Source organism: Homo sapiens, chromosome 2 (genome assembly GCF_000001405.40).
Source record: "Homo sapiens chromosome 2, GRCh38.p14 Primary Assembly".
Lineage (NCBI taxonomy): Eukaryota > Metazoa > Chordata > Mammalia > Primates > Hominidae > Homo > Homo sapiens.
In genome coordinates, this window is record NC_000002.12 from 224578524 (window position 1) to 224591834 (window position 13311).

Genomic DNA, 13311 nt, shown 5'->3' on the forward strand with positions numbered 1-13311 from the left:
TATACATCATTGTTATAATTAGAAAAGCTACTAAAATAAATTCATTGCTTTAACAGACTATGGTTGAATAGTTTTCACAAGACACTGATAGACTAATAACTAATTGTAATTCATGTGTTAACTCAGTGATTTGTTCTTACTAGTAATACCTTTACATTCTGTTGACCTTACAATGGGCTAACAAGAACTACTTTTAAAAAAAAGTTGCATTATTTAAAACTACAAATTGTCTAGTAACTTTTATATAAACCTAACAGGACTACTAAAGACCATCCATGTACTCTGGAATGAAAATAACAAAAAATTCCCTTTAAAGTCCCCCAATGTATAATATAAAAAAAAGGCATACCACTTTTTCTAGCCTTAATCATATAATCTTCCTGAACTGGACAAATGCTTTCATCCCTTAACTTCATTTAATGAATGATGTACAAACAAATGAAGCATTCTCTAATTTGTTTGAATCAAGTTTGTGATTTATGTATTACTTAAAAAGCCAAATTTTTACATTATATTTCATATTACTTAAATAGTTTCTAATTCAATATTGGTACTAATAATTTTCCAGGTTCCTCTGAACTGCTATCTAGAAAGACAAGACAAAATAAATACTTTGTTAATAACAACCGTATGCTTTTATTTTTCTAACTTCTAAAGTCATAGTAGTACTAACAGCTATGACAATACTGGCTGTCCCAAAACTATAAACAGTATTAGTTTAAGTATAAGTAACACTTTAATGAATCTGTTTCACTTTGTTTCATAACATGAAAAATGAAAAGCAAATTTATAATTAATTCTCTGCTCAGTGTGATCTGCAAGACTACCATCCAGCTTTCCTCTATGTACCAGTCCAGGTAGTACTATGCCAACAACTACCTTCCCTAAGAAAGAGAAACCTACTATGAAGATGAAAGCTGTTCCCTCAAATCTGGCAAACATTTCTGTAGCTCGAAGAAAAGAAAAAAAAAAAAAGATTAACTGTACCCATCTGTCCTTAAGACTCTTCCTGTTCTTAAGTATATCACAAATGAACATAAAACTCCTTCACTAATGTGAGTCGCCCTGTATGTTCCAGCTAACAATCACTTCCAAACAGTTGCTGTCCATGCTACACAAGTGGAGTTCCTCTAGCATTAGGGAGTGGGCATTTTATCATAACACTCTTTCTCCTGATGAGTTAGCAAGCTTTTATAAACTAACTGAAGCTACTTCCAGGACCCCAGGGTAGAGATCTTAAGAGCCTGATTACATTCTGGAGACAGTCACCTTCATAACAGGTTTCCCAAACTCTGAAGGCTAGGCCAAGAAAGGCTTTATTACCGTTTGATACAGGAAAGGACAGCATTTTCATTCAAACGTATCCTCTCCAATTCTAATCAAGCTCATCAAACCCATGTGGGCAAAACCCCAGACAGTAAAAATGGTAAGAAATGATTTTTCAAAGATAAAGATAATAAAAGGTTCACCTGAAAGCAACTAATCCTACATAGTGGAACAAAGCCCAGGAGTAAGGAAGAGACTCCCTGGGGCAGAATTATTTGATCCAGACCCACATTATTTCCAGAAGTTTCACAATTACAGCCTGCTTTCTTTAAAAAGTTTTGTGGTCCTTGTTCCTCTGCATACAAATTAAAATTTAAACATTATCAAAAAGATGTGAAATGATACATTTTGTGCAAGGCGGGAAAGCTTATAAACTGGAATAAACTTTTCCTTTGTCAACAGCTTACAAATACAGAAACGTCCTTATTGTCTTCCATCTTAAAAAGAACTTCTAGGAAAAGGTCTATTTAAAAATGCAAATTGTGCATTAAACTGTTGTGTATTATAACTTCTACAGACAATGATGAAGGTATACTTAAAATACGCACTAAGGCTGAAACGCGGTGGCTCACAGCTATAATCCCAGCACTTTGCGTAACAGCGGTGGGCTGATCACCTAAGATCAGGAGTTCAAGACCAGCCTGGCCAACATGGCGAAACCCCATCACTACTTAAAATACAAAAATTAGCCAGACGTGGTGGCGCAAACCGGTAGTCCCAGCTACTTGGGAGACTGAGACACAAGAATCGGTTGAACCCAAGAGGTGGAGGCTGCAGTGAGCCAAGATCGTGCCACTGCACTCTAGCCTGGGCGACAGAGCAAGACTCTGTCTCAAAAAAGAAAAAAAAAATGCACTCAAAACACTAAAAAGAATCTGATATTACTGATGGGAATTTATCTGGAGTAGTATCTATAAAATATCCAGTAAGTTCAATTACCACTCTATTTTGCAATGAAAACAATCTCAAAACACAATTCTATATTTTTTTACAAGTTAATTTTGTAAAACAATCTGAGATGAGTGCTTGAGATTTTTTTTTTTTTTTAAGACAAGAGTCTTGCTCTAAGGCCTAGGCTGGGGAATGAAAGAAATGGGGGCGTGGATTTTGGTCAAAGGATACAAGTTTTAAGATGAATACATTGTGGAGATCAAATGTGCAGCACAGTTAAGAACAGTTAATAATACTATATTACATATTTTACATTTGCTATGGCAGTAGATCTTACTTGTTCTCATCACACAGACATAAAAAACAGAACTATTGGCCGGGCGTGGCGGCTCACACCTGTAATCCCAGCACTTTGAGAGGCCAAGGCAGGCGGATCACGACGTCAGGAGTTCAAGACCAGCCTGACCAACATGGTGAAACCCCATCTCTACTAAAAAGACAGAAACTAGCCAGGCGTGGTGGCACACGCCTGTAATCCCAGCTACTTGGGGAGGCTGAGGCAGAAGAATCGCTCGAACCCAGGAGGCGGAGGTTGCAGTGAGCTGAAACCGTGCCACTGCACTTCAGCCTGGGTGACAGAGCGAGTTTCCATCTCAAAAAAAAAAAAAAGAGGTGATTATGTGTTAGCTTGATGGTAGTAATCATGTCAGAATGTATACATATATCAAAACATCATGTACATCTTAAACATATATAATTTTTCTTTTCTTTTTTTTTTTTTTGAGACAGTCTCACTCTGTTGCCCAGGCTGGAGTGCAGTGGCACGATCTTGGCTCACTGCAACCTCTGCCTCCCAGGTTCAAGTGATTCTCGTGCCTTAGCCTCCCGAGCAGCTGGAATTATAGGCGTGTATCACCACACCTGGCAAATTTTTGTATTTTTAGTAGAGACAGGGGTTTGCATGTTGGCCAGGCTGGTCTCCAACTCTTAACCTCAGGACCTCAGGTGATCCGCCTGCCTTGCCTCTCCCGAAGTGCTAGGATTACAGGTGTGAAGGTGTGAATCACCTTGCCCGGCCGAGTGCTTGACACTTTTGGTGAAACTACAGTTTCCCTTAAATTACAGTAAGTATACATCCAAACAACAGATGTAAAATACAATAATTTTTAAATATGTACATATGTGGAACCATAAACAATTAAGGATGTACATATGTATAACCATAAACAATTTTTTTTTTTGAGACAGAGTTTCGCTTTTGTTGCCCAGGCTGGAGTGCAATGGCGCGATCTCAGCTCACTGCAACCTCGGCCTTACAGGTTCAAGCGATTTTCCAGCCTTAGCTTCCCAAGTAGCTAGGTTTACAGGCATCCGCCACCACGCCCCGCTAATTTTTTGTATTTTAAGTAGAGATGGGATTTCACCATGTTGGCCCGGCTGGTCTCAAAGCTCCTGACCTCAGGTGATCCACCTGCCTCGGCCTCCCAAAGTGCTGGGATCACAGGCGTGAGCCACTGCGCCCGGCCATATTTTTTCTTTACGGAACACTAGGTATTAACTACTTTTGACTAGCAACTCACGCAGTCTGTAGTTATGAACAAGACTGCCAATCTGGAAGACAGGAATTTTGAAGGTCTATAAGCACACGGTTAGTAAGATAAATCTATGAAACACCCTAACACTGAGATATACATCTATCTGTAACAAAGGGCCATAAACTGTAATAGTTCTTTCCAATGGGAATCACTTAGGAATGTTATTAATACTTATTAAACAGTAATGAAAAATTCTTTTAGAAATCAGCAGCTATTAACTACTGAATACCAAAACTAGTCACTTACTTCATGTAAGGTTTTCAGAAAAACCTGCAAAAGTTATAGACAGAATGGATCCAAATTAGCTCATAATCATAACGAAGCTAACAAAAAAAAATTCAGTTCCAGTACTATGTGGTAACGTATCACACAACGTTATTATACTGGTCAGCTAAAGGAATAATGAAATTCTCTCCCACCTCTTCTCCCCAACAATATTAGCTCCAAAAGGCAGGGATCTTGGTCTTTCTAGCTATACTGACAGACCCCCAGAACAGTGCCTGGCACATAATATTCAGTATTTGCTGAACAAATTAAATGATGGCAAAACAGGTAAGAGCAGGGAAACCTGAAGAGGTCAAAGAGTTTAATTACACATACATTAACGTACAACTGGTCAATCAGAAGGCCATTAACTTGAGTGAGTTGATGTCAAATTTGAGTTACTCCACATTTTAGCAAAAAATCTTATTTAGAACATGAGACTTCAAGAATTGAGTAGTGTAAGGCTGCACACACTGCTAGAAAATCTGTTGTATATAGGCCTGGCGCGGTGGCTCACTCCTGTAATCCCAGCACTTTGGGAGGCCGAGGTCGGTGATCACCTGAGGTCGGGAGTTCGAGACCAGCCTGACCAACATGGAGAAACCTCGTCTCTACTAAAAATACGAAATTAGCCCGGTGTGGTGGCGCATGCCTGTAATCCCAGCTACTCAGGAGGCTTTTAACCCAGGAGGCGGAGGTTGCGGTTAGCTGAGATCACGCCATTGTACTCCAGCCTGGGCAACAGGAGCGAAACTCTTGTCTCAAAAAAAAAGAAAATCTGTTGTATACAACTATTAACTTCATAAAATTCTAAGTAATTCTAAACTCTAAAGTGGTCAGAATTTAGTAGGAAAATTAATATCACTCACAAATGCATAACCCAGCTCTGCCCAATTATAAGGGAAAACATACTAGTAAGCTTCGTTAGTACTCGCTTGTCAACATTTCTCACGTTTACTTAGAAAAAAGTTTGAAACATTCAAAAAATCTTTAATTATTATCAAAACACTTATTCTCCTAAATTCCATCGTACCTATTTACACAAAGCAGAGGTTTTCGCACACTGACTTTAGTATTTATGTTCTTACAATTTCAGAATTCTGCATGAGGTGTATCCTTTTAAATTTTAGGAATTCAGAGAGGTCCTCATGTTCTCTGAAACTAAATCACTTGACTCAACTGGGGCAATCACATCAAGGTAAGTCTTTCCTCACTGCAACTGCGCTTCAGGAAAAGCATGCTTTAAAAAGTGACAACAAATCCCCCTCTTTCGCTGGTACATCATATGAAGTATTTATGAATCTAAGAAGGGAAGACCAAGATCTTTCTCTAATTTTACTTTTTAAAATCTTCTGTCCGATTGCTAGTTCGTCTGTCTTGACGTATGCCTTTTATTGTAGCGACATAGGCAAGTATGCCCAGTTCGTTAACAGTACATTTTAATTGCTTGCCACGGGGAAGCTGAACCAGATTTGACACCCAAAGTTATATCCTATATACTAAACATCGCAAGGGTACGACTCAACGTAATGCCAAAAAAGAAAAAGTTTCTGAGCAGAACACGTTTGCTGTCACTGAAAGCGATGAAACAAAGCTACTCCGCAAGGCGACTACACTCATTCTTTGGGCTCCCAAGGCTGAGAAATGGAGAACCAATTGGCCGGTTTGCTCTCTGTTGCTTCCCCCCCACCCGGCCTTCCTCCGAGTGGCGAGGCAATCCTGCACAAGAGTTTGTAAAGTGCTTAGGAAGCTTGTAGGATGAAAGACGCTATAAATACACCCAATGTTACTAGTTTATGACCACGGAGCATTCCGTGGAACCACTGTCACTGCGTCGGGGGCAGGTTGATGGCATAGACCTTCCTGGGGAGGGGGGCAGAGAGAGAGGGCAGCCCCTTCATCACCCTAAAAGCTAGGCTGGGTAAATTTTCAAAGTGTAGCGAAACCCCACGTGAAAAGTTCCACACACGCCCCACACAGGGAGGACTCCGCGGCTGCTAGCAGCGCCGGAGACTGGGCCTACAACCCCGGCAACGTGGGGAGGCGTGGGGCGGCCGAGGGGCCCCGGCCGCAGCCGACGCCCGCGGAGCGGCTGAAGGAGCAGCTCCCGGACGGGGGCGCGGCGCCAGGCCCGGGCTCCCGGCGCGGGGAACGGCCCGGGAGGGCGGCCGCGCCGGGGCCCCGCGCCGCCCGGTTGCCGGGAAGGCTCGCGCCCCGCGGCCGGCGGGCGTGGGGGAGGGGAGGCCGGGCCTGCGGCCTGTTGGGGGACTTCAGCCCGGGCCTCGCGTGCGGCTCTCGGCCCGGCCCCCGGCCCCGGGGTCCCGGACGCCGAGGAGAGACTCACCGGAAAGGCCCGGATCCGCATCTTGGTGTCCTTCCGGCTGCCCGTGCCTTTGCTCAGATTCGACATGGTGCTCGTCCCCTCCCCGGCGGCGGCTTCAGGTCGCGCTCCGCGACGCCGGTGTCACATTTAAGGCGGGCAGGCAGGCTAGGGGCGACGCTGGGGGCGGCGGCGGCGCGACCCCCGGGCAGGGCTGGGGAGCTGGCCGGCCCCTGGGCAGCCGCGGCGGCGGCGGGGGCGGCGGCGGCGGCGGCGGCGGCTCGGACTCTGGCGACTCCGATGCGGCTGGGGGGCTGCGCTGGCGCGGCGGCTCCGCGGGGTCCCCCTCACGTCCGGCTCGGCTCCCTTTATCGCGCTCCTCCGCGATGGCGGCGGCGGCGGCGACGGACAAACATCTCACTGCGCAGGCCGAACGTCGTCCTCCTCCTCCTCCTTCTCCTCCTCCGCCTGAGCGAGACGAGATCCGGCCCAGAGGGTGGAGGGGGGAGGAGGGAGGGAGGAGAGCCGGAGAGTGAGAGATGCCGGGGGAGGGAGGTGGGAGGACGGGAGGGGGAGCCCGGCGGCCGCCGCGGGGGACGCTCAGATCTCGCGAGAAGAGGGCGAGCGCGCTGCCCCCCTGGTGGGCGGGGCGAAGCCCGGGAGAGGGTGGGCGCCACCGGAGGGGAGGAGGGGAACAGGGAACTGAAGGAAGTGGGAGGGGCCGGCGGGGCGGGGAAGCGGAAAGGGGGCGTGGCTGAGGGCGGGAGGATTAAGCTGCCTTTTTGAAAGTGGAGCGCCAGGTCCCGGGTTCTGGGTGGAGGTGGTTGCTGATTGGTGGAGCTCGGAGCGGCGGTTGGGAGGGTCCTGGTCACATGGTGGGGAGTGGGAGGGGGGAAGTTCGGAGAGCGGGAGCGGGATGGTAGTGGGCTGGGCCCCACTGGGCTGGGACAGCAGGAGGATAGTCTTGAGGAGGAGCGTGGGGTGCTAGATGTGTAACTACGTCCCGAACTGGTTCCTGTGTTTTTCTAGGGCATGTGGACTAGGGATGGGTACTTGAGTAGAAGCCTGCAACTTGAAGAGTTTGTGCAGGAGTTAGCTGCAGTGTCGGAAATTAGTGTCCTGTATGCTCAACAAGGTATTCGGACTGGGTGTGCACACCACAGCTCTCAGGACTGGAAGGTGGAAATTTAATCTACGAAGTTCCCTTAAACTGCATAAGCTTCGGGACCTCTTGATTCACTGATATTTTCTGGTGGACCCAGGGCTTATTCATGTTAAAACCTGTTTTTCATTACCATCAGAATAAACTGACAGCTCCATTAATGAAATGCAGCATTTGGTAAATAATGTTAAGTGGAATGATAGAAACCTATCTTTAACCTACCGGATAAATCATTTCTACCATTACCAAGAGTATTGTAGATTTTTAAAGCCAAAATTACCGTCTGATTCAGTTGCTGTATATTTGAAAAGGTTTTGGCTTTTGGTTTTGGAGGAGAGGCGTTTGGTCGCTTTATAGTCAAAATGTCTAATTTGACTTATCGGTTTTGCTGTCCATTTGTTATGAATTGTACTTCCTCATTTACCTACTTGCCCAATTGCTGTTATGTTTGGGTTTCTGACTCTGCAAGGGAATACGTGAGTTCTTATTAAAGTTTGTGTTCTTCCTATTTTAAAGAAGCATATGTTTGGGGGATGGATATCTACATTTAGAAGCTGGAATTTTAATACTTTTAAATAGCAAACAATATAAAGTGAAATACACTTATTTGTTGACTGTAAGGTTGAATTTGCCCTAAATTAACTTAATCCTGATGACTAAGCTTATGAGTGTTGTGCTTAAAGCCCCTTCTTGCTTAAAACGCCCCACTGCAAATACCATATTTTCTTGTTTTTTTTTTTTTTTTGTGGGAGTTTTTTGGTATTGGCTAATTAAAGCAGGAGCTTAAGAAACAAGAATGTTGCTTAAGACAATATCTGTAAATACTGAAGCTAAAAATAGGTTATCAAGAACTGAGTTGATAAACTAAGATTGGGAGAGGCTCTGACTTCAATGTAAGATAATGTCAGCCTTGAATAGGAGTTTATAATCTCTATGCTAATTGAACCTCCATTTCCATAACATAATATAATAACAAACAATGTTTTTCTCTTGGTTGTACTCTCATATGGCCCAGTTTCTTTGTAATGTAAGAATATATGTTCAGAATAGGGATCTCTGAGGAACCAAAAAAAGAAATAAAAAAATATTTTAAAAAAGAATATGTGTTCTTGGAGCCATTGTTTGAATCTCAATTCTGCCACTTTACTAGCTGTGTTTTGCATCTTTTGGGGCATGGAGTTGACAATCCCCAGAATTTCTCATCTGTAAAAGGGAGACAATAACAATACTTCCTCCTTGGGCTACCGTGAAATTTAAATAGATGAATACGTTTTAAAGAGCCCTGAGAACTGGGCATGGAGCAGCAACTTACCACCTGTTGGCTGTTATTAACATGGGCATTAAAGCCAAGGTTATACTACTTCCTTTATTCAATAGGTAGGTTTCTAAACAACAACAACAAAAAACACTTGTATGCTTTTATAAAATGAGTCATATTTTGAAACTAAGCCAGTCTCCGACATTTGGATCTCTCAGACTAATAAAATATTTTCTGATAAGCTAGGGAGTCATTATAGATTTGGCAACTTTATATTGGCAAGGGTATTAAAAAGGAACAACTAGCATAGATTATTCCCATCATTTATTAAAAAGTATTTTAACCTCAGAAATGAGGGAAGATCCATTTTTGAATAAAGGACAGTTCCTTGAATTGAACAGCCTCGTAATGAACAATACGTCACACGAATTTTTCTTATTTCACTGTGAACCTAAGGAGACATCATGGGCCAGCATTTAGAAACCCACTACATTAAGGTATGTTTCTACTTAATTGTAAAGCATATAGTAAGTATAGTAACTGTAATGTATTTGCTTTGTGAACCCAGATTTTCGTATATTGGTGTTGCTTAACCAAAATTTAGCTGCGTCTAAAAGCATCACTGTGAACTGTGTCTTCCCTTAAGCTTTTAACCACCAAGGATCAGAAAAATGCTTCAAAATGATTTTGTCATTAAGAAGTCTGCTCATTTATTTGTTCAGTTATTCATTTATTCAATAATTATTATTGAATGGCTACTGTATGTCAGGAACTAGGGTGAATGAGACAGATGGGACCTGCCATCACATCCTTTTTCACATCTCACAGTTTGTAAACCACAGACCCATATTGGATTTGGCCCCAACTTTGTATATGCTTCAGTTCTGAAATCAGATATTTTCCTTCCTGTGGAAGCAACATCCTCAGAATGTCTATGAAATACTTTCTGAAGCAGCAGTAGATTATTTTTCTGTGCCCAGTCATATTCCCTGACTTGCAAATAGCAAATAAACTTTCAGGATGTTGCTTTTCTGCAAACTGCCACCTGATCTAGCAGAGAAAGCAGCACTGGAATAGGAACTCACTAGATCTTGCATGGCTGGCGATTGGTATTCCTACTCATGCTGACAGTGTCCTGACACAGGAAAACAGTGGCCTCATTTCCATTTATTCTTTCCATTTATGCATATGGAGCACATGCATTCAGAGAGATCAGGCAGTTGGGTGGGCCAGCCCCTTTTCTACATCCCAGTCTGTGAAAGAGCAATATAAGATGTGAGGAGCTGGTAAAAGGAAGTAATAGCCTCTTCTTGACCATCAGTTTCTAGGTACTCGGGATACCAAGTCACTTTAATCAATGTTTCAGATCTGCTGATTTTATTGTACAGATATTGGTTGTTAAAACAGCTCAAAGCCTACAATTTCAATTTGAAAGACCCGTTCAATGGTTTTGAGTAGACCAAGACTATGTTAAGAGAGAGAAAATGTTTTTAAGTTGGAAGGCAAAGATGTATAGATATTATCAGCTCTTGGAATGGAAGGGCTAGATCTTCTACTTTCTTGTCTCTACCAGGCAACTAATAAGTATTATAGGCCATTAGATATGGAGTTGTATATATTTAGGGTAGTAGCATGTGTATGTGCATTATAAGATGACATTGTCGGCAAATACCCCATTGAGAACATAACCACAGATGCTTAAATATGTGAAAACTGTAGGCCTTCTCCATGCAACTTTTCTACTGTGTCCTTAAAATTTTTCTTATATTATTGAGACAAGAAGCATATGAGACACATAAGCATATGAGACGTTACATCTTAAACTAAAAAATGTTAAATGTCTGATTATATCATAAAAATCCATCTCAGTATTTCATCATATGGTCATACAAAAGAAAATCATCTCCCTGGCAGCTCTGGAAATGTTCTGGTTGGCTTGGACAGTCTGTTTATTCCACATGTACCCAATAAATTAACATTTTGTAAATAAAAATATCTATACAACCAACTAACCCAATTGAACATAATATAGATTCTCAATTTAAAAATATAGGCATGGCTTCTATGTAATCTTATTTCAAAGAAAAAGAATTTCTTCTTATTAATACCATTGTAACAGTAAATGTATCAAGAAACCTCTAGGGGACAGTTATGAGTATGTATTGCTTTCATTCATGACAAGTAAAATATATGTTGAAGTTTGTAACTCATCAGCTCTGTCTTTGTGAAGTAAGTTAATTTTGGAGTTGAGATAAAGCATTGTGCCAAAAGAGCTATAAAAATAATGGTCTAAATTTTATGTTAGATTTAGTAATTGTATGAATTATAAATACTACAGTGGACAAATGTAATAAAATGGCATTATCTTTTTTTTGTTTTTTGAAACGGAGTCTCGCTCTTTTGCCCAGGCTGGAGTGCAGTGGTGGGACCTCAGCTCACTGCAACCTCTGCCTGCTGGGTTCAAGCAATTCTCCTGCCTCAGCCTCCCAAGTAGCTGGGATTACAGGCGCCCACCACCATGTCTGGCTCCTTTTTTTGTATTTTTAGTAGAGATGTGGTTTCACCATGCTGGCCAGGCTGGTCTCGAACTCCTGACTTCGTGATCCACCCACCTCGGCCTCCCAAAATGCTGGGATTACAGATGTGAGTCACCGCGCCCGGCAATGGCATTATCTTTAAACTTCTTTAATAAGCTCTTTGTCTTCAGTTCGTAATAAAACTATATTCTTAACTCTTATATCTAGAACTGGTAGAAATCAGAATCTGAGAGAAGGAGCCCTCGTAAAGAAAAGAACCTTTAAGAGACTAAAAGATGTAAAAATTCTTGGGGCCAGGCCAGGCGTGGTAGCTCACGCCTGTAGACCCAGCACTTTGGGAGGCCAAGGTGGGAGGATCACCTGAGGTCAGGAGTTCAAGACCAGCCTGGCCAATGTGGTGAAACCCTGTTTCTACTAAAAATACAAAAAAATTTAGCCGGGTATGGTGGCAGGCACCTGTAATCCCAGCTACTCTGGAGGCTGAGGCAGGAGAATTACTTGAAACTCGAGAGGCAGAGGTTGCAGTGAGCCAAGATCGTGCCACTGCACTCCAGCCTGGACACCAAGAGCAAAACTCCATCTCAAAAACAAAAACAAAAACAAAAACAAATTGTTGGGGCCTATTTCTAGCCTGAAATTGACAAATGAATTCCTAGAGTAAGTTGATTTTTAAGTTATTGGTCTCTGAGTCCTCTAATTTTTGCATGGCTAGATATTGGGCAAAAAAAAACCCTTTAATGGGCAATTCTGAAATAGTGTGACAAGTGGACACCTTGTTAGGATAAAACCAGCAACTTTACATCAAACCTAGTTAAAAACCTTTTAAAGAATTTTCATTTATGAGAAATTGGTTAAAAATGGTATGGAACTTCTCTGTTACTGAAATTCTCATTGAGAAGTGGCTATCTCTACATGAACCTTTGGGGTTTTTTTTGGTTTTTTTTGAGGAAAAAAACTACTTTAGATGCCTGTTGTAAAGGCAGTTTCATATTCTTCTGTTAATTAGTATAGTGATGTTTGTCCTTTCTTGGGGAGGGGAGGAGGTATTTCCTATTAGTACCCTGGTCTCTTGTTTTAACAGAATCACCCACTGGGTGTGGTCTTGGTGGATAGTGGCTTCTACTTCCTACCATGGTAGTTGGAGGGGTCTGATCTTCCCTGTCCTCTGCCCAGTTCGGCCTGGGAGTGGAGGTACAGGGAGACACAGGCAATCAGACCCTCTCCTAGAAGCTCTGACTGTTGAGTAGGTGACTGAAGGACACAGGATGGTTGGTGGGTACTCAAGCAGTGGCAGTGGGTGGCCTGGGCTCTTCCCACAGAATGACTTTAGTTGCAATTCCTGCTCCTCGACTTTCCAGCTGTCCTCTGGTTCCTGCTTGTTGTCCAACCCTGGTCCTCCTACCTCCCCTAGTTTTCTGTGACTCCAAACATGCCTTCCCCAGATTCCATTTTTGCTTAAAATAGTCAAAGTTTGTTTCCCCCATGTGTCACTCAGCGTCCTGGCAGGAAACAGATGGCTCACTCCAACAGGGAAATTGAGAAGAGTTTAACTACAGGACTTTCACATGGTATGGGTAGAGATAGAAGGTGATCAAGGGGTGATGAAGCAGCTTAGGACTAGCAACAGCAGGGGGCCTTGCACTGCTTCCAGGCTTGAAGGACAAAAGGGAAGAAGTGGACACCAGAGATTCTTGCTATTACTGTGGGAGAGAGCTGCCTGACAAACTGAGGCATTAGGGGGAAACCAAAGCTACTGATGCTTTCTGGCACAGTGAGAAGGCTGCCAACAGACAAAATACCCGCCTCACTTTCCTCCTTCCGTGGGATTTCTGACTGGTGCCTCCCATTGTGTGAACCTAACTGAAAGCCAGAGCTCAAGGGAGCCATTGATGGGAGCCATTGATGGAGTCCATAAAAGTCACAAGGGTACAACTGTCCAGGGTGGAGGAAGGTGAACT

General features: G+C 43.0%; 1 protein-coding gene across 2 annotated transcripts in view, besides 2 other annotated features; it reads right to left on the reverse strand.

Moving 5' to 3' along the window:
• CUL3 (cullin 3) overlaps positions 1-6840 on the reverse strand; it is a 115214-nt gene extending 108374 nt beyond the window's left edge. For both annotated transcript variants that reach the window (NM_001257197.2, NM_003590.5), the window contains exon 1: positions 6421-6840. In NM_001257197.2, coding sequence (NP_001244126.1) covers positions 6421-6486 — 66 coding nt within the window. In that variant the 5' untranslated portion in view covers positions 6487-6840. The remainder of the gene's footprint in view (positions 1-6420) is intronic.
• Positions 6304-6563: a silencer, noted in NCBI's record as "silent region_12382". NCBI's record gives its function as "represses an Ori minimal core promoter by ATAC-STARR-seq in GM12878 lymphoblastoid cells {active_cell/tissue: GM12878}" and the evidence as "EXISTENCE:reporter gene assay evidence [ECO:0000049][PMID:35858748]".
• Positions 6894-7313: a silencer, noted in NCBI's record as "silent region_12383". NCBI's record gives its function as "represses an Ori minimal core promoter by ATAC-STARR-seq in GM12878 lymphoblastoid cells {active_cell/tissue: GM12878}" and the evidence as "EXISTENCE:reporter gene assay evidence [ECO:0000049][PMID:35858748]".